We start from the raw sequence: 26537 nt of genomic DNA, 5'->3' as shown, positions 1-26537 counted from the left end.
AACATATGTGTACAAGAATGTTCACATGACAGCATTTGAGACAGCAAAAACTGGAGACACAAAACATCCACCTTAAGAGGAATAGTTATGCAGATTGTGGAATCATCATTATAATGGAGTCTTATGCAGTTATTAAAAAGAACAAAATAGGTGTATGTGTAGGCAGGGAATAATCTCCTTGACATTTTGTTGAATAAAAGAATCAGCCTTCAGAAAACTATGTATGGTATGAAGCATTTTTGTTAATTCTGTGTGTGTGCTTATGTGCTTAGCAAAATGTCTAGAAAAATAGATGCCAGGCTATTGAAGTGGTCACCCCTGGTAGTGTGATGGGGTAGGGGAGGGGGATGAGGAGAAGGCTTTCTATTTTATTGTATACATATCTCTATTACTTGACTTAAGAAATGAGCATATATTACTTAGTCAATAAAACAAAAATATTTTTTAATGCTTGCAACAAAAATGCTGATGGAATTTTAAACCAGGAGGAGCAATGTTAAGGCTTCCTCACTCTGGGAATTGGACTAAAGGTGACTTAGTCTTAAAGGCAACTAGAAAAGGCATTAATTCTATTAATTAATGCCTCAGCGATTTCCATCTCAGCAAAGATGTCTTAATGAGGCGCTCGGGACACCCATTATTTATCTTACAAATGCAGCTCCAGGGTCCTGCCCATGTCAGGCAGTGTAACACACGTCCCCGCGGAGGGCTGGCGCTGCAGAAGCTCCCGGTCCACCCCCTCCTGCCCACACCTGGCCTCACCCTCCCCATCTCTTCGAGGATGACCTCTGTCCCAGTCCCTTGGACCCCGACTCCTCCACGATCTGGCCCCTCCCCTCATACATTGCATTTCGGGACCCCCGCAAAGGAATCACTTCAGCCTGGACTGCAAACCGCACTCCTACACCTCACTATGAGCACCTTGGGGGTGTCCTCCAACACCCCCCGCCCCGCCCTCTCTCTCCTGGTCTCCTTTCGTTCGAGCTGATGAGGAACTGACGACCCAGAGTCGGCCTGTGTGAGGCCCGTACAGGTGGCTCCCGAAGTCTTTAGCGGCACAGGGTCGGTCCCTCCAGGCCGACCTGGTAAAATTCCCGCATCTCCCGCAGGCCGCCCTTCTCTGGCCCCTGGACCCCGGGCTCCTGGCCCGCGCGCACCAGGAGCTGTCCGCGGTGCTGACCGCAGGCGCTTCCCGCGCTCGGCCGATGCGCACGCGTCCCGGGAGGGGCGCGCGGGACCTGCCGGCGCCGCCACTGCGCAGCCTCCCGCGGCCTCCCCGCCCGGCGCAGCCTCCCGCGGCCTTCCCGCCGCCGCTCTCGCCCGGGCCGGCCATGGCGCTCAACAATTTCCTTTTCGCTCAGTGCGCCTGCTACTTCTTGGCCTTCCTGTTCAGCTTCGTGGTGGTGGTCCCGCTGTCCGAGAACGGCCACGACTTCCGCGGCCGCTGCCTGCTCTTCACCGAGGGCATGTGGCTGAGCGCCAACCTCACGGTGCAGGAGCGCGAGCGCTTCACGGTGCAGGAGTGGGGCCCGCCGGCCGCCTGCCGCTTCAGCCTGCTCGCCAGCCTCCTGTCTCTGCTGCTGGCCGCCGCGCACGCCTGGCGCACGCTCTTCTTCCTCTGCAAGGGACACGAGGGGTAAGTGGGGGCCGCTCCCGGCGCGGCGCCCCTTCCATGCCCCCAGCGCCCCCAGACCCACCTCCCCGGGGAGGCGCGCGAGTCCCTCCGTCTCTCAGGCAGCTCCGAGGCCCGCAAATGTCAACAATCCGCCCTCACCCCCTCCACTCAGACCGCCCTTTGTCTACACACACATCCAGGGACCATGACGACCACCGGTCCTGCGTACAAGGCCAGTGCCTCCCCTCCCCAGCTGCGCATCACCTCCCGCTTCCGGGCATCTGCTCCCTTGGGTTGCAGATGTTGCACTGTCATCACCCAGCAGGCCTGGACCTTCCTGGGCGGGCTCAGCCGGGCCACACTCGCCAGGACCGGCGACAACTCCCAGCCCGGTCTAGGGCTTGCACTGAGCTCTCCAGGTCCCAGTGACAAGGCGAACTGGGGAGCCCCACCCGGCACCATCGCCCCGGGAAAGGGACGGCAGATGGCTGTCTGGAGGGGAGCCACCCAGGCCCACCTCGAGCTCAGGCCTTGGATGGGGAGCTGGAGAGAGACTGCAGGGCGAGGGCTGTGCCTTGTGGGCTCAGCGCCTTCCTCCTCCTGGCCTGCATTTTCCTCTTTCTCTTTCCTGCTCCGGCTAGATACTGGAGCCCATACAACCTGGTTCACCTGGGGTGCGGTGACACCCTTAGCCAGTGGCACCCTGGGGGCCCTCTGGGGGCCCACCCACTCCCTCTGCAGGTGCTCTCTGTGAACCCTCCCACTCCCTCTGTGAGCCCACCCACTCCCTCTGTGAACCCACCCTCTCCCTCTGTGGGTGCCCTCTGTGAGCCCATCTACCACCTCTGTGAATCCACCCACCCCCTCTGTGAACCCACCCACCCCCTCTGTGAGCCCACCCACCCCCTCTGTGAGCCCACCCACTCCCTCTGTGAACCCACCCACTCCCTCTGTGGGTGCCCTCTGTGGGCCCTCCCACTCCCCTGGCTGAGGCCTGCTGTGCCCAGGAGCAGCCCGAGATCCTGTAGAGGTTCCGGGAGAGCACTCATGAAACCCAGGCTCCTCCCAAACTCTGCCCTCACCCCCATCCTTTGTTGTAGGTTTTCACTTCCTGCACGCAGGTGGGAGATGAGAAGGGCTCAGAGGGGTGTGGGCGGCAGGAGTGGGGAAGCCCTCCTGTTGCCCCCGCTGTGAGCCCACCGCTTGGTTTTGGCTGAGAGAGGGGCCAGAGAGGGGAAGAAGAGGGGCTTCAGGGAGAAGGGAGGGAGCCAGGGCTATGCTGAGTGGGGCTGCAAACTCTGGAGGAGGAATGAGAATCCCAGCGCCTGTGGGTAGGAGCGCCCTGGGGCTGCTGCAGCACAGTTGCACCAACTGGACTGAAACCCACTTGTCCCACCACCCTCTGCCGCTGTCCTCACAGGGCGCCTTTGCTCTGCTCTGTCCTCCCTCTTTTTACAGGGACACCAGTCACTGGATTCAGGGCCCACTCTAAACTCAGGGAGATATCCTGAGATCCAGAGCTTAATTACACCTGCAAAGATGCTATTTCCAAACAAAGTCACAGTCACGGGTACCAGGGGTGGGACTTGGGCATATCTTTCGGGGGACACCATTCAACCCACGACACTAAGGTTCTGGATGGGGGTCAGTAGAAAGCTGGCTGTCAGCCTGGGAGGACCCAGGTACTGTGGGGCCATGGGCCCAAATTGTGTGGCTGGAGCCCTGCTCAAGGTGGGGTCAGGCCGGGCGCAGGGTGGTGTCCTGCCCATTTGCAGCCGTCCTCCTTCCCTCAGCCCACTCCAGGGCTGGTGTCCCAAGAAGAGGCTTGAGACGTCATCTGCACCCATGTTGCCAAACCCAAGAGTTGCCCAGTCCATGCTGTGCATGCAGGGCAGGCAGGTGGAAGCCTCCCTGAATGAGACAGGTGTGAAGAGGGAGTGGGACAGCCAGCGAGTAGGGTCAGCCTCCCAACGCTTGAGGTCCCTTTAGTCTGGGAAGCTGAGGGTGGAGGGTGCAGGCCAGGTGGGGCCACAGTTGGTTCATCGCTCACGCACTTCTTCACCTCCTGGGTGTCCCTCAGGGTGCCTGTGGTCCAGCTGGGGCTGACAGAGGGTGGCTCTCTAGATAGGACCCAGCTATGTGGTCAGAGTGATGGGAGATTTTATAGGGGGTTCCACCAGAAGCTGGGGGACAGGGAGAGGGGAGAAAAGAGCCCCAGAGCTTGCAAGACAGGAGTCCAGGTCGCACAGGGTATGGTCTATTTCGCACACACTGGGCGGCAGGCCCAGGGATGCCGTAACAGCAGCTCTGCCTCTTGCCATCTCACGGAAGGTGACTGTCTGTCAGCCGTGGCAAACTGCCAGCACCATCTCCTTCCAAAGGCAGAAAACAGATTCCTGGGGAGTCTGCAGGCCTTCCCAGCACTCTTTGTGGTGTTCCATCCTCCCAAGGGGTGGAGCCGGCTGGGATGCAGGCCAGCTGTGTGGCCTCTGCTGCAGCCCTGCTGACCGGCCCATATGGGATTTAGGAAGCCTTAGACGGCCTGGTATGCTCAGGCCTGTGGGGGTTAGGGTGAGGGTTAGGGTTGTCGAGGGGGGCTACATTGTGGAGGCTCACCATGGCCTTGACCCCACTGGAGGTCAGGTCCGGGCAGCTCCTGCTGTCAGGAAGGGGCCTGTGGCGGAGCATTTCAGGTTCAGCTCCTTTGCTTCAGTTCAGGGGTTCACCAATCCTCCCACCACTGACCTCCGCCCAGCCTGCTCTTTTCCAGGGACATCTGGTGCCTGTGTCCTTCTTGACCATCAGGAATTAGTGGCTCAGTTCACGTGGTCATGTGGCCACCTGTCCCCCACCTCATGCACTGCACAGTCCATTGGCAGACGGCTTGTGGGGTGACATCTGTCAAACGTGTCAGCACTCCATTGAGTTCTGGTTGTAGGCGAAGGTTAACGCTCTCAAGAGCCATCTCAGGCCATGGGTCCCCCCCCAGGGGACCCCACCCTAGGGGACCCACAGCTGGGTGAAGCCAAGGCAGACATGCACCTTATTCATCTCTGTGTCCTTAGGGCTGAGCACAGGGGATGGTGCGTAGGAGTCCCCAGATAATGTTTGTTGAATGACTGACAGAAAGATGCCTGGGTCCTGAGGCCTGCTGCCTTGTGGTCACTCACCTGGCCCCGATACCTGTGCAGACTCAGTTATCTGGCCAACAGGTCCACCCTTCAGACTTGCCATGTCAGGAAGTTCTGGACCCCTGGGAAGATGGGGTCTGCAGGGTCCAGCGACAGAGCAGCCAATTCCAACTCAATTGTTGGTCCAGCTGCATAGACTAGGTGAGCAAGTGCCAGGTAGGTAAAGGGGACTCAGGACCAGCCACGGAGCTGAGACGGGCCTTTACAGGGAGCTCATGTGGTGGACAAGGGCTCTCAGGGCCATCGACGGCCACTGGACGTCCAGCCCAGGGAGGAGCCCACTGACCCCATCAGACTCTGGCTGCTAGAGGTCTGGGCCTGTTTAGGACAGCACATGCTCTAACCCTCTAAAGGGGACTCCACCTCCAGGGGCCACCCGGCTGCCCTCCTGCCAGTGTGAGGGCAAGGCCTGTGTGAGGTCTGTTTGAGGGGCACATGGCACGTCCAGAGCTTGTGGAGCAGAGGCCATGTCTCAGGTGCCAGCTTCCTCTTCCTATGGGGGTGTCTTTCATGCAGAGTCTGGGCCCTGAGAGCTCGTGCCCAGAAGTGTGAAAATTAGTCTGGGGGTAGCTTTTTGCAGAGGAGTGTCATCTTGATGCTCCATTATTGGCTGCTGAGTGAATGAGTGAATGAATGAATGAATGAATGAATGAGTAAATGAATGAATGAATGAATGAATGAATGGATGAATGAATGGAATGGCACCTGTGCTTCAGAGAGGCTTGCCATTTCGGGGCAGAAGGGTTTGCTGAGGCAGCCGTGGGCCTGGGGCAGCTGTGCTGAGGGAGGATTGAGCACGTGGGCTGGCAGCAGTTTGTGGTTGGCGGGCCGGAGGGATGCTGCGTTAAACTCATCTGCCTGCCCGTGCCGGCGCTGAGCCTTCACATTGCTGGGCTTTCCAGGACAGCGGTCACCATGGAGATGGCACATCCTGGCAGGGCACCCTGAGCGGCAGTGAAGAGAGACAGGGTTAACCCTGCATGTGCCGGGCTCCTGTTCCTGACCACTGTCCTGGCCTGGCCTTGGTGAGGGAGGGGCTGGGTGGCCCTGTGACCTCTGGGGAGCTGGATCCGGGGATGCTCTGGACACATCCAATTCTTCAACGACCTGGACAGCCTGGGCAGGATCCCTGGAAACCGACCAGAAAGGAATGAGAGGAACAGACCGAGGCTGTCAGCTGGCAGCGGCCCCAGCCTGGGGTCCCTTCCCTATCTCATGGGGAACTCCTCGATCTGGTCATGGGAGAAGACTCCAAAATCGGGCCATTTCATAGGGGTGAGGCTGGATGTTTGAAGTCTCCAGATAATTGGCTTTTCTGTCTGTTGGAGGTTGTGTTGTGGCCCATGCTCAGTGGTGGGAAGGGGACAGTGGGTCGCCTGGGCCCAGAGCCTCTGCCGTATCTCAGGTGCACTGGGCCAGGTATTTGCAGGCACCAGGGTCTTTCAGGGTCTGAAAGACCCTGCTCTTCAGAGTGCGTCTCCTTCTCCATTCTCTCTCTGGAGGCTGAAAGGTGTGGACCATGGCAGTGGCCCCTTCCTTGCCTCTGGCTGTGGAGCTGACCCTGGCCGTGCCTCGCCACCACCTTCTCCTTGGCTGGGGCGGAGCAGCTGGTCCAAGACTGCAGAGGTGGGGCGGGCTTACTGCGTTCCGCTCTGTGACTATAGGCCCCTAGCCCCTCATTTGCACCCCCAGGCCAGATGGATTTTGGGGTTCAGAACTGTGTCCTCAGGGTCCCAGCAGCAGCAGATGGCTCACCCAAGGAAAGGTCATTGAAGGAGGGCTGGTTGACAAGAGATGAAGTGGTGGGGTTCATGGGGTCAGTGGAGGTGGTGCTGTCCCCATCCCTGGCTAACGGGACCTGGATGGGTGGGTCACCTGGAGAGGAGCAGTGACTTTCAGTGGAGGGACCTGGTAGCAAATTCCCACCTTGCTCTCCCGCCCTCCCACCCCATTGCCCAAACCCAGCCGGAAGCCAGAGGGCACGGGGCCATTGCCATGGTCCACACCTTTCAGCCTCCAGACAGAGAATGGAGAAGGAGACGCACTCTGAAGAGCAGGCGGGAGACACTGGCACATGGTGATTCAGGCTTGGGCAGGGCGGATGGAGCCAGTCCCATGTGTGACAGCTCTGAGACTCACAGCACACTGGGCTGGAGAGGGACCGAGAATGGCCCCACACCCATCCTGGCGAACTTTTGCCGCTGCTCTTTCTGTCTTCAGAGAGCTTTGGATGTGGCGCTGTGATGGGGGTTGTGGCTTGTCTACTGGCACACGGTACCCACTCTCCAGCCATCTTCAGCCATGAGGCCTGGGCAGAGGCTCGGTCACCCCCCACGCGTACGTGTGTGAGTCCTGCTGGTCCTGCCCTCGTTGGTGTGGTTGTTGGATCACAGCCCATGGCTTTAAGAGTGTCCCTGTGTCCTCTCCCCTTGTCTGGGACTCCCTGGGGTGGCTCAAACCCTCCCGTTCCTGGGGGGTGGTTCTGCTGTCAGCCCAGCAGTCACCAAAACAGTGTGTCCGGGACTGGGGCCAGTGGACGGGCTCCTTGGAGGCACCAGATGTTACAAAGCAGCCTGGTGTCGCCTGCTCTGAGTTGGGCGCTGTGGCCTGGGTTTATCCTCAGCACGTTGGCTGGGGCACCTCCCGGGGCCAGGACTTCGTCTTTTGTATCACTCTGCCCTCTGTGTCCAGCACAGGGCGAGCAGGTGCTCAGAAAGTGCCTGCTGAATGAATGAACAGACAATGCGCTGGCCTCCACTTTGCCTCATCAGCAGCTGCCGAGTTCGGATGACGGTAGCGTTGATGTTTTCTTGGCTGAGATTCCAGGGAGACCTTGTTTATTAAATGATCGCTGTGAAGCTGTTTCTGTGGGTCACCTCCCTTAGATCCAGTGTGCTGACAGCATGCAGGCTAACATCGAGCCTGCTGGCAGGTGAGAGGCGGGAGCAGCCCCTTCTCAGCCATGCTGCTAGTGCTGGTGTCCGCCCGTGAGGAAGTCCCCCTCAGGGCTCCCACTGGAGGGACAGTCCCTATCCCTACCCCCTCTCCCTACCCCCCGGAGCCTCCGTGTGCATTCCAGGCTGAGCCCACCCCAGGCCCATTCGAGGGACTTTGAATCTTGATGGAGCAATTCAGAGATGATGGACGTTTGCAGGCCAGGCAGGAGGGCCGGGTGGGGTGGGTGTCCCGACCACCTGCCCGGTATCCTCAGAAGAGGAAACACGAGCATCCTCTGAAAGCCATGGCCGTGTGCGCCCTGGCAGAGGCCTCAGACCCCTGGGGCAGTGTGGCCCAGCCCTAAGTGAGCTCCTTCCTCATGGCCCTGCCTCCTGCGCTCCCCATGCTCTGGCCCTGGTCAGATGGGCCCAATCACAGCCTGGCCTTTTAAGTTTAAATGGATAAATCAGAGCTGGCCCATCAAGCAAGTCCTACCAGGGGTCCAGGCCACGCGCTGATGACCTGCGGGTGAATGGAAGCTCTCGGCATCACAGGCTGGGGTCTTGTAAACAACAGGCATTTACTGCTCACACTTCCGGAGGCTAGAGGTCTGCGATCCAGGCTGGGATCCAGGTTCGATGCCTGCTGAGGGCCCGTTCCTCTTGCTGTGTCGTTATCTGCTGGGAGCTCGCTTGGTGGGGTCTCTCCTAGGAGGGCACTCATTTCATTCATGAGGCTTCACCCTCATGACCTCCTCTCTTCCCAAAGGCCCCACTTTCTAACCCCTCAGTGGACTGGAACATATGGATTTGGGGGGACACAAGCACCTGGGCCAGAGTTGCTGGTGACTGTGGCTGGACGGCTTTGGAAGGGTGTCATTCACTTCCACCCTGGGTGCAGCCTCTTTTATGAAATGGTGGGGACCAGGGTTCCAGGTCCTGGGTCTTTGGGAAGGTGTGACCTGCAGCCCAGGGTGGGCACACGGAGCTGCCCGAGGGACCGCAGGCAGGGGGAACAACTCCTTGAGGCCCCACAGGGCCCAACCCAGGAATCCTGAGGGTCCGGGGGGTGCTGCTGGTGGGGGTTGCCCAGGAGATGGCGTCCAGTGAGCCTGCCCCTCCTGTTTCTGGCTGCAGCCTGGGGGCGGGGGTCGCCTGGGAGGTGGTGTCCAGTGAGCCTGCCCCTCCTGTTTCTGGCTGCAGCTCCTTCTTCTCCGCCTTCCTGAACCTCCTGGTCAGCGCCTTCGTGGTCTTCCTGGTCTTCATTGCCAGCACCATCGTGAGCGTGGGCTTCACCATGTGGTGCGACACCATCACCGAGAAGGGCACCGTACCCCACAGGTGCGCCCGCCCCACCCGCCTCGGCCTCCGCCCACCTCCCCGGAAGATCCCTTGACACCCTGCCCTGCTGTGGGTGATCTTCCCTCACGAAGCCCATCCTGAGTCTGCGGTCCCTGGTCCCACTGTGCACTGTGCCCCTGCCTGTGCATACCTGTGCAGCCCCTTCCCTGAGACCCACCCTGCAATGTCAGACACCTTCCCGCCCTAGGAGCCGGCAGCATCACACGTCACACAAGAGCGATCATCCCTAGGGCTGGATACAGCTGGGGGTGGCTCCAGGTGGTCAGGGACTCTGGCTGCCCTGTTCTTGCCACCAGGGCTTAGATGACAGATCCCGTGCAGCATGGCCCCGGGTCCTGGGAGGCTCGGTGTGGCCACACAGCCGGAGACTGTGGGGCTTCTGTCCTGTGCTGGCTGCATGGGAGAGCCCAGGGAGCATTAGGCTCAGGGCTTTGGTCCTCATGGTGAGGAGTTTGGAAGATGGTGGAAGGGACGGGGATGGTGAAGAACAGGAGCAGAGGAAGCTTCTGGCAGGGTGAGGGTCAGCTCCCAGGCGGGTTGGGGATGGAGGCCTTTGAGCCATGGTGGTCCCTCTGGGATCTTAGCAGGGGCATCATCTGGCTTGTGGGGGGCCCCAGAGTGGAGCACAGTGACTGCCTGCCCCCCACAGTGGGATGCCCCGCCCTGAGGGGCACCATGCAGTGCCCCAGGCCAAAACCCTGGAAGACAGGAACCCTCCAGAGTTTCCACATTCTTCCTTTAAGCAAACCCAGACCTGAAACCCCAGCATCTGCAACAGATGCAGCAGAGCTGAAGGGGCTCCCTGCCTGTCTGTTCCGTGCCTCCACCCTGGGGTAGCTGGGGCACAAACCAGAGGAAAGCAGGAGCACCTGGGTGTGTGGCCCTGCAGGGCCTCCTGTGCTGAGCTGTGCCCTGTGCCTCATCGTGCACTGTCCCAGCTCTGCCTGCTGGCTCGGGCCACCTGCTTCCCAAGAGTGTGGGCAACCTCTGGTACACACGCAAAGTTTCCTTGGCCTCACAGACACTGTTTCCAGCCCTTCAGCCCCTCCAGGGATTTGGGGCCGCTGGGCCCCCTCTTTCTGGCACCCTGCTCCTGTCAATGTGTCCTGGCTTCACGTTTTATGTTGGGGGTGCAGGACACCTACCGGGAGCCCAGGCCTGGCTCACTCCTGGGCCCTCTGATGCCCACTGCTTCCACAGATGCCTCCGTGATGGGGGCAGAGCTTCTGGGCAGCGTTGGTGGGGATGCCACCTCCATCTCTGTCTGGCTGAGGCAGCCCTGCATCTCCTGCCTCTGAGACCCTGTGACCCTCAGAGTGTGGGGCATGGGGGGCAGAGGGTCCAGAAAAGCAGAGGCTGAGCTGGCGTCTTCCGGCCGTCCTGGGTCAGGACAGGGAGGGGCCTGGCCTCTGAGACCCCGTGATCCTCAGAGTGTGGGGCATGGGGGGCAGAGGGTCCAGGAGGGCAGAGGCAGAGCTGGCGTCTTCTGGCTGTCCAGGGCCAGGACAGGGAGGGGCCTGGAGGTTTCCTTCCCCAAAGGCTGTCCTGCTCCATGGAGGAGGCATCGAGGCTAACCCTCCGTGATGTCCCCAGAGACTCCCTGCTGCCCACCCCCTCGCCCAACAATTGTAGGGCAAAGCTCCTGGCTCTCTGGCCAGCGGCTCAGCCATGTCCCGCACTGGCTGTCCTGGTGGTCACCCTCCACCCTATGTCCTGCTGTTTTAGCTGTGAAGAGCTCCAGGACATCGACTTGGAGCTGGGCGTGGACAACTCCGCCTTCTACGATCAGTTTGCAATTGCCCAGGTAGGGGGCTCTGGGCAAGAAGGGAGGCTTGCAATGCTGGGAGGGGGCCATTTACTGCTGGACATTTGCTGAGCTCTCCCCCATCCAGAGGAGGAGGCAGGCTCCTGTGTGGATAAGGTAGTTAGCAATGGGACCAGGCAGTGGGAGCAGTCGGGAAGGCTTCCTGCAGGAGGTGGGGGAGAGCTGGGCTTTTGTAGGTGGGTTTGGGGAGGAGATGGCCACAGTGAGTTAGAATCAGGAAGTGGCAAGGCCCTGGGGTCTGGGGTGGGAAGTGTGGGGGTGTGGGGGGAGGTGGTGCCAGAAACGAAACCAGGCATCAGATCCTGGGGGTCCAGTGTAGGGACAAGGGCTTTGGACTTTGGTGCTGGCGCTGGGTGGGCCTGTTCAGATCAGAGCTGGAGGCTTAGAGGAGTCCCCTAGCCAGGGGGAAGCTGATACAGAGTCCAAGGAAGGAGGCAGGGGATCCCACTTGTGAATTCAGATTTGCCACCCTGCCCTTGTATAAGCTGCGTCCCCCGCCCCCTAGGAGACTTGGTGGAGGGCGATGGTGGCCCCCACTCTGAGGGACGCTATTTGCTGAAATGCAGGCATGTGGGGACACATCAGTGGCCCGTGAGGGCCGGAGGGGGAACCCTGGAATTGGGTTTGCCCCTTGAAATCTGCAGATGTGCCCCAGACGGAGATGAGGCAGATGAGGGGTGCCGGGTGGGGGTGGCTGAGACCAGACACCTGGCTCCTGCCAGCACTGATCAGGGCCCGCTGGCTTCAGGTCCAATTCCGGACCCCAGGCTGGCCTCTGAAGGCTCTTGCTGGCCGTGGCTGGCCTGAGGACGCTTCTCCTGGCCAGGAGCCCTCCAAGGGTGCTGGACATGGGTGGGCCTGAATGCTCTTTGCCGAGATGAACTGGACCTGTCAAAGACACCTTCATGCAAATTTAGTGAGTGGAAGAGGCCTCAGGCCTAATTTGTGCCAGTTGGATTAAGGTGTGAGTGCAGTCTGATGGCAAATACGCTCAAATGAGAATCAGCTTAATGTAGCTCAGGCCTGGTTCTGATTAAATTGTTTCTCCTTCAACTGTTTGGAAACAGCGGCTAAAGGTCAATTTATTCCGGTGGTTGGAGGAGCCTCCGCTGTTTACCCGCCCTCCTTAGAGCCGACAGGCCGGAGCTGCTGGAGGAGAAAGCACTCGCCACTGGCCACTGCCCCTCCTCGGGGCCTCTGGCCGGCCTGGAGTGAGGGTTGGTCTGAGTGCCCAGGGCTTTTGCACCAGAGTGGGTTCCGGGAGGGCCACAGGTGCTGGAAAACGATGCTGGCTGCAGGAAGGAACTCAGAAGCTTGATCTTGGGCAGGGTCTTCAGGAGCTGGCCCTGCCCCATGTCCCCGGCCTCCTCCTTCCTCTGAGTCCTGTCCTTTCCCTGCAGAGCAGAGCCTGGGGGCTGGTGGGAGGGGGTTGCACTGACAGCGGACCCCCAACGGCTTCTGACCCTGACCCTGCCCTCTGTGCAGTTTGGCCTCTGGGCCTCATGGCTGGCCTGGCTGGCCATCACCACGCTGGCCTTCCTGAAGGTCTACCACAACTACCGTCAGGAGGACCTGCTGGACAGCCTGATCCACGAGAAGGAGCTGCTGCTGGCCCGGCCGTCCCCACGCACCTCCTTCCAAGAGGAGAAGAGCGCTGTCATTTAGGCACAGTGCAGGCAGGGGGAGCTGGCCCCGACCTCCCTGCTGCGCTCGGGGGCACGGGCCTGCCTGGGGAAGCAGCTGGGGGGCTCTGCCTGGGCCCTGGCCACATGCAGCCCTGCGTGTGTCCCCTCGACGCCACGTGTAGTGAGGTGAGCGCCCCAGTGCCCACCTGTGAGCCTGGCAGTGGACTGGGTGGGTGCCGGCTCCCTGATGAGGATGGTGCAGAGAGACTATGGGTGTGGGGCGGGGGCGGGGGGCACCTCCAGGCCTCGCACAGGGCCCCTTGGCTGTCCCAGTAGGACCTGACTGGCCAGCCTATGTGGAGGGCGTCCAGCTTGTCTCCCCCAACCCTGGCCGGATGCTGTCTCCATGCCAGCTGGCCCAGGGGTGGCCAGATGTCACTTAGCCCTGAACGAATTCTGCATGAATTCTGCCATCCAGGCAGAGGCTGCGTGTGGGGAGGAGCTCACGGCACCTTCCAGCCTCTGGCCCCAGGTTGGCCCCCTCCCCAGCTGAGTCCCCCTCCTGGGTGGGTGCCATAGGCCTGGGAGACCCTGTGGCCGGGCTCAGGGAGGCTTCTGAGGCCTGTGAGTTCACCTCACTGTGTGTGGGTCCTGTCTGTGCTTGGCTGAGGGTCAGGGAAGTGGTAATCTGGGCTCCACAGAATCGGGGGCATCATCTGGTTGGGGATTTCGGGGGCACACGTACCACATAGAGGACTGGGCCAGGAGCCATGGCAGGGGTCTGTGTGTGGGTGAGTATGGGAGGATGTGATTGTGAGTGCCTTTGTGCATGGGAGGGTGTGATTGTGTATATGAGTGCATGAGAGGATGTGACTGAGTGTGCATGTGTGGGTGTGACAGTGCAGGTGTGACTGCATGTGAAGGTGTCACTGAGTGTGCACGAGAGGGTGTGACTGCATGTGAGAGTGTGTGACTGCATGGGAGGATATGAGTGTGCATGAGTGTGCATGTGAGGGTGTGACTGAGTGCATGAGAGTGTGACTGCCTGTGAGTGAATGTGTGACTGCATGTGCGAGTGACTGCCTGGGAGGATGTGATTGTGCATGAGTGTGCATGTGGGTGTGACTGCATGTGAGGGTGTGACTGTTGTGCGTGTGAAGGCTTGATTGTGAGTGTGCCTGGGAGGATGTGAGTGTGAGGGTGTGACTCCCTGTGACATGAGTGTGCATGCATGTGAGTGTGAGGAAGAGTGTGTAGGTGTGAGTGTCTAGGCAGGTGTGTCTGCAGTGTGTGCAGCATGTGCGTAAGTGCATGTGAATGTGCGTGTGTTGCATGTGAGCATGTGCACGCCTGTGCGTGTGAGCATTGTGTGCGTGATGGGAGCCGTGGGTGCTGTGTGGACAGCCCCTCTGCCCCTCCCATGGGCTCCCACGCCCAGCATCCACCTGAGAGAGGAGGGAGCTGCCTTCCCATTCTGCAGAGTCTGTGTGCTGAGGCCCCGCAGAAGCAAGTGGAGGAGCTGGGATGTGAACCTGGGACCCCGGCGTAGGGGGCTGCTTGGCTGTGGACCCTGCCCCTCAGGAAAGCCCAGGGTCCACCTCCAGAGGACTCGTTCTGGGGCGGGGGCGGAGGCGGGGGGCCTCCCCACCCGGGGCTCGATGAGGGGCTGTCCGTTTCTTGGCTCGAGTGCTGCCAAGTGCTCCCTGCTGCTGCGCCCACCTTCCCGGGGAGAGGCGAGCCCCTGGCTCCCTGAGTTCATGACCCACCCTGTCCACCATCAGCAGCTGGCTTGTGTCTCTGGGTGGCTGGGCACCAGCCTCCTGGAGGCCACGTGCCTGGGTCCACATGGAGGGTCCTGGTGGGGGCATCATCCTGGGTCCCGGGAGTGAGGCTGGCAGGTGCCCATCGGGGGTGTCAAGTCCAGGGGGATCGAGGCTCTGGAAGCTCAAGGGGGCTCTGGCCTTGGGGACCAGCTGAGTTTCCAGCTGGCAGCCAGGTCCTCGAGGGAAGGGGTTTGGACAGAATCCGAGGCCCCCTAAGCTGATGGGGTCCCCTGTCTCCCCTTCCAGCCCTGACCCACTGGACATGGGGACTCTTTCCAGTCCGGAGAGCTCCTTGTCTGTGTCCCCAGCAGAAGGTGGGGTGGCTCCTGCCTCACCCTCTGCCCAGCCCTGATCCAGGCCACAGCCATCTAGGGCCCTGAAGGAGGGGCAGGAGGCAGGGGTGGCTTCTGGAACCTGAGGCTTGGCCCCGGTTGGGTCTGTTCTTGGGGGCTGCACTGCTGGATCCCAGGAGCAGGTGTGGAACAGCCCCATGGCCAGGGTGATGGAAATCCTCGGCTGCATGCAGACATAGACCCACCCTGGACTGGGCTGTCTCCGGAGCCCAGACACATCGCCCTGGGAAGGGGCAGCTGGGCCTGCAGTGTGCTGGGCAGGGGCTGGCGGCCCTGGTCGTGGGCTCTCCAGGGTCCCTCAGGGGATTGGGCCTCTCCCCAGGCAGGAAGGTGGGAAGTGCAGGCATGACCCGGGGTTCCTGAGGCTGGTCCACCAAGTTGCTTCTGAGACGCCTTCGCTTCTGTCCTGGCTGGCTGTTAATGATATCCCTGTTCTAATTCCACTCTGGCTAAACTGAAAGTAAAGATCCTTAAGCTTACATGTGTCTATTCCTCAAAATCAAAATAAAAACAAAAGCACCCGAGTCTCCAACAGGGATGAGGAGGAGCGTGTGGGGCTTCTGTCTGCCCTCTCCGCTGTTGGCTGGCCTGGCTCGTGGTTCTAACTGTCTGTAATTTGTGGGTCACACACAGTTTGCTCAGGCTTTGAGCCTTTCGTGTCCGAAGCTTTTAGGAATTAGAAGTTGGCCTTCCCGAGGTTCTGCCTTCCTCTCTGTACATTTTCTAGTGGCTTCGAGTCTCACTGCTTCCCATGCAGCTTCCCCAGGTGGGAGGATCCATTTCGAAGGATCTCTTGGGGGTGTGGTGCCCATCTTTGAGCAATGTTTATTCGAAAACACCTGAGGTCGTAGCGTGGGACCCCGCAAAGCCAGGCACGTCCTTGCGTTGCCTTTGCAGTGGACAGACAGCAGCGGCTGGGGGAGATCGGCCTGTGCGGTGTCCCCCGTCAGAACCGGGGCTGGAGGGGTGTCCCAAGCACACAGGGCTGAGCCTGGGCCTGTGACTGCTCTGAGAGACCCAACCTCTGGGAGCCGCTGCTTCTGCATCCAGAATATGGGGCAGGAACCTGCCCATCCTCCTTCCTGGGGTGGGGTGGGATGGGCTGGGCCTGGGGAGAGATGCTGGAGGGTCCCCGGGGGAGCCCCCACCATGGTCCCTTCTGGGCCACTTCTGGAAACAGCCCCTTTTGTTACCTCCACCCGCAACTCTGGGCTCCCTGGATTCCAAAGCTGGAAGTGACCCTGGAGACCACTTCACCTGTTCCCTGGCACCTGGAGTTGCAGGGACACACCCTGACTGCAGGGCAAAGGGAGCCGGCCGGGCATCCCTCAAGACCCAGGGGCTTGGTCAGCCCCTGCCCGAGTGGACACATCCACTCCCAGGCCTGCAGGAGATGGGGAGGTTCCAGGCGCCCAGGACATCCGCTTTGGCCACTGAGGCCGATTCCTTAGCAAATCGGTTCTGGTTTCTCTCATTTCTATAAAAACACCAAGACTGAAGGAAGCCACGGTGTGTTTTAATAAAACAGTGTCTCCCAGTTAAGTGGTGGGACAAACAGGAACCACCGGGTGGATGGTCGGCCGTGCCCACCCGCCTCAGGCTAACCTCGAGGACGCTGGTCTGATTGTCCCTGTGTCTCTCCTGGGCAGTTCTGCCTGGTGTCTAACCGTGGGCCTCCCTGCTTTGTTCAGCCCTCCCCCCACGTAGGGTCTGGAGAGGCCCCTGGTGTTTGTCATCCACAGGGCTCCCTTCAGCTCTGCAATCCGGCGACAAAGCCACAACCACAGACGGTCTCCGGGACCCACAGGCCCCAGCTGGTGGGTGGTGCTGGCTGGCCCCGGGCTCAGCTGGGTGTGCCTGGCCTGCAGAGCTGGGCACAGATGGCTGTTCTGAAGGTCGGGGGTGTCTGGGCCCCTTGCTGTCCCCTCGGCTTCTACACCTGAAGCCGCCCCTGATGAGGGGTCCTTCCCTGGGGCCTCTCCAGACTCACGGGGCTGGGTAGGGGGGTCAGACCTGGGCTCAGAGGATGGCACCTCACATCAAAGGGACCCACCTTGACAACCAGACCCTTCCCTCCCCGTGGGGTTTCGAGGTCTGGATTCCCCACAAGCCATAATCGCAAAAGGCTGGGTTTGCCTCCTCCGAGCAGCCCCTTGAACACGGGCAGTGTGTCCCCCTCCTCAAGAGGGTGCACACGGTGATGGCCGGGCCAGGCCCTAGCAGCAGCAGGAGTTCCTGCTGGGACGAGGGAGGGGTCTTTGGGTGAGCCTGGGGAGCCTCAACTGTTAGCAGTCGAATCCTCTTTCTAATAAAATCTCACATGGACCCAACACAGGAGACAGGAGGGCTGTGCTGACTAGTGTGGCGGGGCCGCCTGCTGTGCCCCCCATGTCCGATCTCACGCCACGGGGTCCCCCTTTTCCTAGTTAGCCCTCAGGCAGCAGCCCCTTTTGGCCCCCATGATTCACCAAGCAGCAGGGCCAGGGCTCAGGCTGTCTCGGAGCCCCCGGAGTGCTTGAGCTCTCCTGGAAGCCCTGCCCGTCCTGCCCGTCCTGCCCGTCAGAGCCGCAGGAGGCCGCGCCAGCAGGTGAGGGCCACGTGCCGCAGGTGCAGGACAAGGCCGAGGAGCCGGGCCCGCAGGTCCTCCAGTGCCGTTGCCACGGGCTTGGCCCGGCCGCAGTATAGGCCCAGGGCCAGCACGAGCAGGACGCACACACACAGCTGCAGGAGCAGGGAGCCGCCGTGTGGCCTGGGCCGGCCGGGCACTGCGGCCAGAGGGCAGGCAGGGTCAGCGCCAGCCAGCGCGACCCTTCCCTGGAGGACTGGGGCTGGTGGGGAAGGGATGGGGAGATTCCACCCTGTCCATGCCCATGGCCCCTCCCTAGCCTCTTGGGGTCTCCTTGCAACAAGAGCTCCCCAACTGGGGACTCCTTAGAGGCCCTGGCCCTGTGACACCTCCCTCGGGGAGGGAGTGAGGGTGGGTGCACCCACGGAGGGGGCAGTGGGGCACAGGGATGTGGGCTCAGAACTCACCCCTGACAGTGGCTGTGGCGTTCTTGTCAGCAATGTCTGCGAAAGAGAATGGAGAGTCAGCTGGGGGCACCTGCCTCAGTCCATCGGGCGCCCCCGCCCTCTCGTCTCACCCTGCACCCCCGAAGGACCCTGAGACTATTCATCAGTGAGAGACCCAGGCCCAGCCGGTCCTGACACTTCCTCAAAGGGACAGTCATGATTTGAGAATCCGCCCTCATGTTCTCCTCCAGTTGCTGTTTCATGGACCGGGACTGTGTGTCCAGATGACCCCAGGGGCCCAGGTCTTACAGGGGTTGTGGCACTGAAGGCAGGTGGCCACGGCCCCCCCATGTCCTGGGCCCTGCCAGAGCTGTGTGGGTGTGGCCGGTGTCCCCGCCTCCCTCTGCTTGACTCCACCCTCTCCCAGCTGCTTGCTGCGGGTGCCCTCTTACAGTGGACGGTCACCGCTGGGGGTTCTCGGAACCACACGCGCCTCGAGGTCCTCTGGGGCTTGGCCTCTGGGCGGTGGTGCTCCGGCCGGCTCCGTTTCAGGATGGAGGGGGGGCACTTCCTGTTGTCCTCCTGGTGTGGGGGCGGGAAGCAGACTGGTGAGTCCCCGGCGGGAGGCCGCTGGTACCCAGGTCTGAGCCATGTGGGGCCCAGCAGCACCGTCCTGGAACCTGTACCCTGTCCTGGCTGGTGCGCTATGCTGGGCCTGTCACTTCCTGTAGGGTGAGGGGCAGCTCCTGGACAGGGACTGCAGGGCAGCCAGACTCAGCCTCAGGGGCCCAGGCAAGACAGGAGCCCCTCCTGACCCCGTCTCTTCACGCAAGTCCCCACTGAACCTCTCTTCGTCTGCCCGCTGTCTCGGATGCAGGCTGCTGGACAGGGTCCCCAGGACATGTGGACAGGGGGAGGGGGCTGCAATGGCAGAGGGGCTCTGGCTAAGGGGCCAGAGTTTGCAAGCTCTATGGGGCAGGGGCCGGGCCAGGGCCGTGAGGAGGGCTGGTTGGTGGCCTCGGCCTCCTTTTCCCTGGGGCCGAGCCTCCCAGGCTGCAGGCGGGGGCAGCTCCTACACATTTGCCTACCTGGGCCCTTTCTCTGCTGGTCTGCTCACGTGTATGGGCCCAGCCTGAGTCTGGAAGATGGAGTGGGAGTTTCGGGCTGCTGTGAACCTCAGCATCCTTGTCTGTGACATGGTGACAACTGGGGCTGAGGCACCCTGGGAGCCGGGCCAGCTCTGAGGTTGTTCCTGGCTGGGGCATTGCTCGCTGTACACAGCCTGCTGCTCGGCATCTGGCGAGGCTGCCCCGCGAGGGCGTGAGGCCTGCCCATGCTGAGTCTGGCCCAGCTCCTGCTGTGCCTGTGGCATGCCCCAGCCTGGCAGTGCCTCAGAGGCTGGATGGAGCCTCAGGGTCTGAGGTCTGGGCCCCTAACCCTAACACTGACCCTTGGTGACAGTCTTGACCTGTCCTCTCTCCACCCTCTTCCCTCCTCCAACACCCTCCTCCCTGAGCTGCCTCTTCCACAGCCCTCCATGGCTCCCACTTCCTCTGCCAAGCTGTGCCCCACCTGGGGGCCTCCAATCTCCTCTGCCAGACCAAATCCTTCAAGGCACCCATTGCCCCCCGCTGCTCCCCCCAGCCCTCAGTGATCCCCCTGCCCTCCTCCTATCACCCCCTGATTCCTGGGGTGGAGGATGGCCTTTCCACGTCTGTTGCTCCCTGCCCCCTCCAGCCCCCAGTGGAAGGCCAGCTTGCAGAAGCTGTGTCCCAGCGGCCCGCCTTACCCTCTCTGCCCTGCACACCCGCGGGCCCCACGCGGCCTCCTCATTCTTTCTGGTCTGACGTCGTGTCTCTGGCCGGGAGTCAGGGCTCACGGCTCCTGCTGCAGTCCTCATTTACTGGAACATGGTCCTAAGATAAGCAGAGACGTTATTTATTATTTACTGCACAAGTGGCACTCAGAGGAATGAAAATAAGAGGAGGAGAAAATTCTTTCCTGGAAGCCAGGCTGGCTTCCCGGGCTTGCGACCGGCCACGCTGTTGAGCAGACACCACTTTTCCTCTGTGGTGTCCCCAGTGCAGGTAAATCCTGTTCCCTGCTCGTTCAGAAATGCCATCGCAAGCAATTTCCTTTGCTGCCACGGTCTTCATAATTATCATCTTTAATGGCTGCATAATATTCCACTGGGCCGAGGTCCCGTCACTGAAAGTCACCCTCGATGATTGGGTATTCATGAGGGTTGCATTTTAGTATTGTCATTTGCAATGTTTGGAGGTCATGGATAAGGCTGCAAGAAACATCTTTGCTTTGTCTCCTTTCGGTAGCGGGAAGCCCTGGGGCTGGGGACTGGGAATTGTCAGGGCTCTGAGACCGGGTCCACAGAAAGGCTTCCCAGAGGGTCATGCCCACCTTTTTGGGCTGGTGCTGGTGGGGCGCCCCTGGGCTCCTGGGGGCCCACCCCTCAGCACGGCTCACACTCTCTCTCTGTGTCTCTCTCTGCACCGCGCCCCCGCCGATTCTGTGTCTCTATCTCTCTGTCTCCATCTCTCTGTCCCCCTGCCTCTCTCTGATTCTGTCTCTATCTTTCTATGTCTCTCTCTCTGTCTCCATCTCTGTCTCCCTGCCTCTCTCTAATTCTGTCTCTATCTCCCTGTTTCTGTCTCTGTCCCCCTTCCTCTCTCTGATTCTCTCTCTATCTCTCTACCTCTATCTCTGTCTCTCTGTCCCCTCCTCTGTTGCGCTGGTTGCTTCCTGGCTGTGAATGGCGCCTCCTCGCCTCCACCCCCGTGTCTTTGGCGGCAGAGGCTGTGCTCTCCTCATTCGTGCTCACCGGTGGAGCCCCCCAAGTGTGAATTTTCTCTCACAGCCTTGGCAGGGTTCTTGACTTTTGGGCACTCCTCCCTACAGAGGGGTGCAGTGCCTACCAGGCATCTGTGCAGGTGCAGGTGTCTGCCTTTCAAGGGCTCTGGGGGTGATGAGCCTGCCTCTCTTGCTTCAGGTCGGGAAACTGAGGCCAGAGGGGGCTGGGGCTTCCCTGGGAGCTGATGCCAGGCCAGGTCCTCCCTGCCCTGCTCCCAGCTGGATAGGGGGCAGTGTGGGGACCTCCTGCTGCCCTTCAGGTTCTCCCCTGCCCTGGGGTCCTTGGAGGGTACTGCCGCCCCTGCCCCTCACAGGGCAGGTGTTTGCATTTCCTGAGATGCTTCCCTGGCTCCCCGTGGTCCTCCAAGGACCCTGCCCCCAAGGGCTGAGAAGGGGGAGGGTGAGAGTGAGGGGCCTACATGGTCCTCAAGGATAACTCCTCCAGGGTCCCCCAAAGGGATGGGTGCCTCAGAGGTTCAGGGCAGGCCTGTGGGAGGAGTGGTTTGGGTGGATACTGCAGTGACTCCAGCAGCCGTGTGCCGTCCTCTACAGGAGATAACAGGGTGGCCATGACCACCTCCCCAAGTGGGCATAAATACTGCAGACAAGCAGAGTGCCCTGTTAATGATGTCTGGGAGGACACTGTCTGGACGGGTTCAATTATTTCAAAAGAGAGCAATTTTCTGCTATCGCCGGATCAGGTTTTTATTGCAAATAGGGTTGTGGCAGGAGCCGGCCATCCAGGGGGGTGGCGGGGAGGGGCGGCTTATCTTCAGGACCTGCTCTCAGAGAGTGGCTGTGGGAGAGGTTGTGCTTGCAGGCCCAGCTGAGCTGGGGCCCCGTCTCCTGGGGCCAGGTCACCTGGAATGTGGGCTCTGCGTGATCCCCAGGGTTAGGGAAGCCACAGAGTGCCAGGCCTGTCCTGGTGTTTTGGGGATGCTGCCTGGCAGGGCAACCTTGACTGCCTGTCCGTAGCAGGGCTGGGGCTGGAAGGGCTCTCTGGATGCCATTGACTCAGTTTCCACCCTGGGTGGGATAGAAACTCTGCTAAAGCCCAGGGTGGGGTTGGGGGTGGAGCAGAGCCCCCCAGTGACCTCTTGGACCCAGAGCCCGGGCTCTCCCACTGCCCGGCGGAAGGAGGCTTGTGCATTCGGGGTCATTTCCTGGGGCTGCACGGCCTGGGGCTGGCTGGCGTGCCCAGGGCCACAGCCCCTTGCCAGGCGACCCTGCAGCAGCATTCCAGGGGGCCCAGCCAGGTTCACTCCTCATGGGGAAACAGGCCTGGAGAGGCTTGGGCCGACGGAGTCACGCAGGGATGCAGGGCTGGACGCAGTCTCCCCCAGCTCCTGCCAGCAGCTCTCGCTATTCACCCCTCCTTGGCCTGGGGTCTGTCCAAGGGATGGTGGGAAAACAGTGTGTGTGTGCACGTGTGTGAGTGCACACATGTGTGAGTATTCCCCTGAGTGTGCAAGTGTGAGAGTGGGCACGTGTGTCAGAGGGCATGAGTGTGCACGTGTGGGGTGTCTGTGTGTGTGAATGTGTGCATGGAGGTGTGGCTATGTGTGCATATGTGTACTTGTATTTCTGTGCGTGCATGTGAATATGCATGTGTGTGTGTGTCCATGCATGTGCCCGTGTGTGTGTGTGAGTGTATCTGCGTATGTGTGGGTGAATGTGTGTGTGTTTGTGTAGAGTGTATGTGAATGTGCAGGCGTAGGCAGTGTGTTTGTGAGGGTGCCTGGCTGTGGCATTAACCATCTGTTGCTGAGCAGCATAACTTGGGGAGGACGCGACTTCGCCTTCTGGGGCACAGAGTTCTGCCGGAATGTGGACAGTCAGGACTTCCTACGGGACAGCACCTCCCCCTCTTCAGGTGTGGGCTCCAGAGCACCTTGTGTGACCACGTGTGACCTTAGGCAAGTCTCCTAATCTGCCTGGGCGTTGGTCTGCTCAGCTGTGAAATGGGGGTGAGGAGAGCAGCAGCCTCTGCGGGCTCGCGTGAGGGTGGGAGTCAGTGCACAGACCCGAGTCCGCACCAAGCCTGTGCTCTGTGCCATCAGCCACTGTTGGCATCACTCGGGGAGGGAATGTGCCCAGGAACAGAGCTCAGGTGGCTCTGGCTGTGTCTGGACAGTCAGGACATCCTATGGGATGACACCTCCCCTCCGGGAGCCCTGGGGCCCTCTCCAGAGATGCACCTTCCCCTGGGCCACGCTCTGCTCCCAGGCAGCCTCCCTGAGCCCTGAGGTCCCCTCTCCAGAGATGCACCTTCACGTGGGCCACGCTCTGCTCCCAGGCAGCCTCCCTGAGCTCCGCGGTCCCCTCTCCAGAGATGCACCTTCACGTGGGCCATGCTCTGCTCCCAGACAGCCTCCCTGAGCCCTGCCATCCCCTCCCTAACTGGGCTTCACGCTTCCCCTTCTGGAAGAGAGGTCTGGCTCAAGTCCTGGGCTCTGTCCTTCTTTGGCTCTGTGACCTCGGGTAAGTGGTGTGACCTCCCTGGGCCTCATTTTCCCCAGTGGAAGCAGGGAAGGAGTGGCTCTGGCATGCTCGGCAGGTGGGGGCGGGGAGGCCTGGGGCCTCTGGCAGGGACAGTGTGTAACTGGAGGCCTCGTGACAGATGGGAGATAAAGGGCGGAAAATAGCTTCAGAGCCTGGACCTGTAAGTGTCCCGCTAGGCCCGCTGCTGGGGAGGGCGCGTCCACCCGAGGGGACTCTACCCCCACTCTGGGAACAGGAACCCCATGGCGCCTCCCTTGGTGCTGGGGGGCTGGGGGGTTCTTACCAGCTCCTCTACTGAGAGGGGGCACCGAGCTCCCTGGCGGAGGGGAAACTGAGGCCCAGAGAGGGAGAACAGCCTGCCAGGTTTCAGAGCCTGGGTTGGGACAGAGGCGGGAGTCAGGGCCCGGAGCTCCCAGTTGTGGGCATGACCAGCCCGTACTGCTGGTGGGAGGTGGGGCCATGAGGGCTGAGGCCCAGGACCTTGGTCTGGGGTGTGACCCTCCAACAGTCTTTGGGGGTCTAGCCCAGTACCCCAAAGACCCCACCTCATCTTGAAGCTGCTGAGAGACGTGAGGGCACTGATGGAGCCCAGCGGCCGTGGCAGTGCCGAGTCCCTCCCCCTCGAGACCAGCCTGCAGTGGGGCGTGGGGGCGGGCCAGTGGTTCTTGCCTGGTTCTGTGGCTTGGATAACGCCAAGCTCTGGGGCCCAGCCACTGCTGCTCCCTCCCACTCCTGCCCCGTCCTCCAGGACGCCGCCCGCTGGCTTCCCGCCTCCTCCCAGGCTGCTGCCTCTGCCTGGCCCGTGCCGCCCGCCCTTTTGCCCACAGCCCACCTCCTGATGTTTCTCTGTCCTCCCTGAGGGTTCCTCGGGGCGGGCAGTGCCCCCCATGCAGCAGCTGGCTCGTGAGAAATCCTGACATCCCACCCACCCCACATGGGAGGTCCTTCCTCGGCTCTGAGCGTGCGGCCCCACACTCCCGGCTCACCCCTCGCCTGGCACTGCCCTTCCTCGGCTCTGAGCGTGCGGCCCCACACTCCCGGCTCACCCCTCGCCTGGCACTGCACCCATTCACACGGCAGCCTCACAGCCTTCCAGGGGCAGAGGGTCCCGGGGCCTGAGCGAGTGCAGGCTGGGGCCAGGCTCCCTGTTTCCCTGTTCCAGGTGCAGCCTCCCCCAGGGCAACTCACTTGGGAGCTGGAGACAGGGGGCCAGGCTCCTGGGAAGCCAGAGACCTCCCTGGGAGAAGCTGGAGACTCACAGCCCCCACCCCCACCACTTACACACACACACATACATACTCTCTCTCTCTCTCTCTCTCTCTCTCTGCCCCTGCCCACCTGGGCTCCTGCTGGTGCTGTACCTCCGGGGTGGCTCAGGCCTGATCAGCCCCGAGATCCACTGGCGGTCACAGCCTCGCTGTCGCAGGGTGTGAACCAGAGCTGTTGCGGCTCACAACCAGCTGAGAAGTTTCCATTACGGCGACACTGAGCAGTGGCCTCAGCGGCCCTGAGGGCCCCGGCTGACTTGCTGCTCTCGGGACAGCCCGGTCCATGGGGAGGCCGTCAACCACGGGCTTGGTGGCCCCAGGAGGAGCTGGGCCTCCTCAGTCTCCCAGCACCTTAGTAGTTTGGCCACAGGCCTAACCCAATGGCCCTGGGGCTGCAGATGCAGGTTGTGCCTTCTTCCGGTGGAAGAAGACTGGGACCATGGACACTGCCTCGCTGGCCTTTCCTCTGCAGGGCGGAGGCAGAACACAGCCAGGCGGGGTGGCTGGGCTCCTGGGAAAAGCCTTGGCTCCCAGCCCAACGCTCACCACTGGAACCACGCTGGCAGCTCCCCAGACAACATGCGTTCTCGACTTAAGTAAGAGGGAGAACTTGTGGGGAGGCCCCTGGCTGGGCTGACCGCCCACTGGGCTTGCTCAGGTGCCTGCAGGCCCTACCAGGTAGGAACAGGAGCAGGAGCTGCCTGGTGGCCCCCTGAGGCCCCTCTCCATGCCTAGATGGGCCCTCACATCCCGAGGTGCAGTTAGGGCTCGAGGTAGCAGCAGTACCGGGTGATGGCTGCTCATCTGCTGGGTGCAGGGGCCACCCTAGGCCTCGAGAGCTCCAGACAGACAGGGCGGGGGACCCCCCCAGGCCCTTCCTCCCATATGTGGAATGGGGGCTGTTTGCCAACTGTCCAGGGCACTGCAAAGCTCAGTAGTGCCCAAGAAATGGCGTGGCGTCCAGTGCTGGGTGGGGGTCCCATGGCCACACAGGGCAGGACAGGGATTCCTTCTGACTGACGGCTCAGAAAAGAGCCAGTTCTCAGGGATTCCCAAACACTGAGAACTAGGCTTCAGTTACTGGAGTAACGAATCCATTCCTGCTAGGCTGGGCCTGCGTAGACTTGCCCTCGGAGGATGCCCCCCACCAAGGCCCTTCAGGGAAGGCTGGCTGGGTTCATGCCTGGCACGGCTGCCTGCATTCCCCTGAGAGTGCAGCCCCTTCTCCCACTGCCCAGGCTGTTTCGCGCAACATCAGGTGCCCTTTGGAAGCTCCTGTGTGGCCAGGAGCACCCCCGCTGCTAAGTTTGAAGTGGCCGTGTTCCCTGCTTCCCCCAGAGGCGGCCTGGCCTCAGTGTGGACACAGGGCCGGCCTGGGACTGTCTCCGTTTTAGGGAAACCATCAGTCCCAGGAGAAGGGGGAAGGGTGGCCACTCTGGAGCTTGTTCAGGTCACTCAGGATCATCAGTGTGTGCTCTGCCCAGTCTCTGCCCACACCTGCTGCCCAGCTGGGGCAGGTTCCCCACCTGCACCTGCCTTTGGCAATCTCTCCGCTCTGCCCAGTCTCTGCCCACACCTGCTGCCCAGCTGGGGCAGGTTCCCCACCTGCACCTGCCTTTGGCAATCTCTCCGCTCTGGCATCTTCATACCCAAGCAGGAAGTGAGCCCCCTCTCCCTGGGGCTGGAACTCACCTGGTTCCCTCCTGGCTCCCCGAGGGACAGAAACAGGCTCTTCGGGATCTCCCTGTGGGGCACAGTCCAGTGAGGTCCTGGACCCTCTTGGCCGGCAGCACCCCTCCCAGGCCCTTGAGAGTTGAGCCTCGGGCAGAACTGCAGGGCACACAGGTGAACGGGCCAGGCCCGCCCAGGCCTCCTTCCCGAGGGCTCTGATCTGGAGGCGCCACCGCCCGCTGGCAGGGCCGGGTCTGTTGTGGCCTTCGTCCCGTCTCCAGCCCTCTCTGCTGGATCGCAAAGCTGGGCCAGCTGGCAGCGGCCAGGCTATAATTACCTCTCCCCTTTGGCAGAAATAGCAGTGAACCCGAGGACAGGCCGCTGGCCCCGGAGCAGAAGGGGGTGGCTGTTTCCCAGGCCCCCGGTGGACAACAGACCATGATTTCAGATAAGACCAGAGTTTGCTGCTGTTCCTACCCCTCCCGGCCC

The 26537-nt window shown here is 61.3% G+C and overlaps 2 protein-coding genes across 12 annotated transcripts, besides 2 other annotated features; one reads left to right on the top strand and one right to left on the bottom strand.

The window, feature by feature from the left end:
- The first annotated feature begins 1300 nt into the window (after positions 1-1300).
- Positions 1301-15209, top strand: TMEM179 (transmembrane protein 179). Of its 7 annotated transcripts, XM_011536745.3 has the most exons (6): positions 1301-6081; positions 7027-7738; positions 8298-8376; positions 8946-9083; positions 10830-10908; positions 12415-15209. In XM_011536745.3, the coding sequence occupies exons 2-6, from the start codon at positions 7651-7653 to the stop codon at positions 12592-12594; spliced, it is 564 nt and encodes a 187-aa protein (XP_011535047.1). In that variant the 5' UTR covers positions 1301-6081; positions 7027-7650; the 3' UTR covers positions 12595-15209. The 7 variants fall into 7 exon arrangements, 5 of the variants coding, with proteins under 5 accessions (XP_011535047.1, NP_001273318.1, XP_024305346.1 ...); XR_002957551.2 differs by lacking the exons at positions 7027-7738; positions 8298-8376; positions 12415-15209 and adding exons at positions 11678-11845; positions 11997-12408 and having other exon boundaries at positions 1301-1636; XM_011536750.2 differs by lacking the exons at positions 1301-6081; positions 7027-7738 and adding an exon at positions 8512-8659 and having other exon boundaries at positions 8289-8376.
- Positions 15210-15557: 348 nt separating this feature from the next.
- C14orf180 (chromosome 14 open reading frame 180) lies at positions 15558-26309 on the bottom strand. 5 transcript variants are annotated; one of them, NM_001008404.3, is made up of 5 exons: positions 26070-26309; positions 19532-19658; positions 18195-18324; positions 17764-17799; positions 15558-17495 (listed from the first exon to the last, which is right to left on the bottom strand). In NM_001008404.3, the coding sequence occupies exons 2-5, from the start codon at positions 19640-19642 to the stop codon at positions 17290-17292; spliced, it is 483 nt and encodes a 160-aa protein (NP_001008404.1). In that variant the 5' UTR covers positions 19643-19658; positions 26070-26309; the 3' UTR covers positions 15558-17289. The 5 variants fall into 5 exon arrangements, with proteins under 5 accessions (NP_001008404.1, NP_001273329.1, NP_001273328.1 ...); NM_001286400.2 differs by lacking the exon at positions 26070-26309 and adding an exon at positions 24448-24813; NM_001286399.2 differs by having other exon boundaries at positions 16226-17451.
- Positions 17740-18297: an enhancer, noted in NCBI's record as "H3K27ac-H3K4me1 hESC enhancer chr14:105054113-105054670 (GRCh37/hg19 assembly coordinates)". NCBI's record gives its function as "activates a minimal SCP1, AML or CMV promoter by ChIP-STARR-seq in primed H9 embryonic stem cells {active_cell/tissue: H9 hESC(primed)}" and the evidence as "EXISTENCE:reporter gene assay evidence [ECO:0000049][PMID:30033119]".
- Positions 18298-18857: an enhancer, noted in NCBI's record as "H3K27ac-H3K4me1 hESC enhancer chr14:105053553-105054112 (GRCh37/hg19 assembly coordinates)". NCBI's record gives its function as "activates a minimal SCP1, AML or CMV promoter by ChIP-STARR-seq in primed H9 embryonic stem cells {active_cell/tissue: H9 hESC(primed)}" and the evidence as "EXISTENCE:reporter gene assay evidence [ECO:0000049][PMID:30033119]".
- Positions 26310-26537: the final 228 nt, after the last annotated feature.

This window comes from Homo sapiens, chromosome 14 (assembly GCF_000001405.40).
Source record: "Homo sapiens chromosome 14, GRCh38.p14 Primary Assembly".
NCBI classification, from domain to species: Eukaryota; Metazoa; Chordata; class Mammalia; order Primates; family Hominidae; genus Homo; species Homo sapiens.
This window is presented reverse-complemented; position numbering and strand designations above follow the sequence as displayed.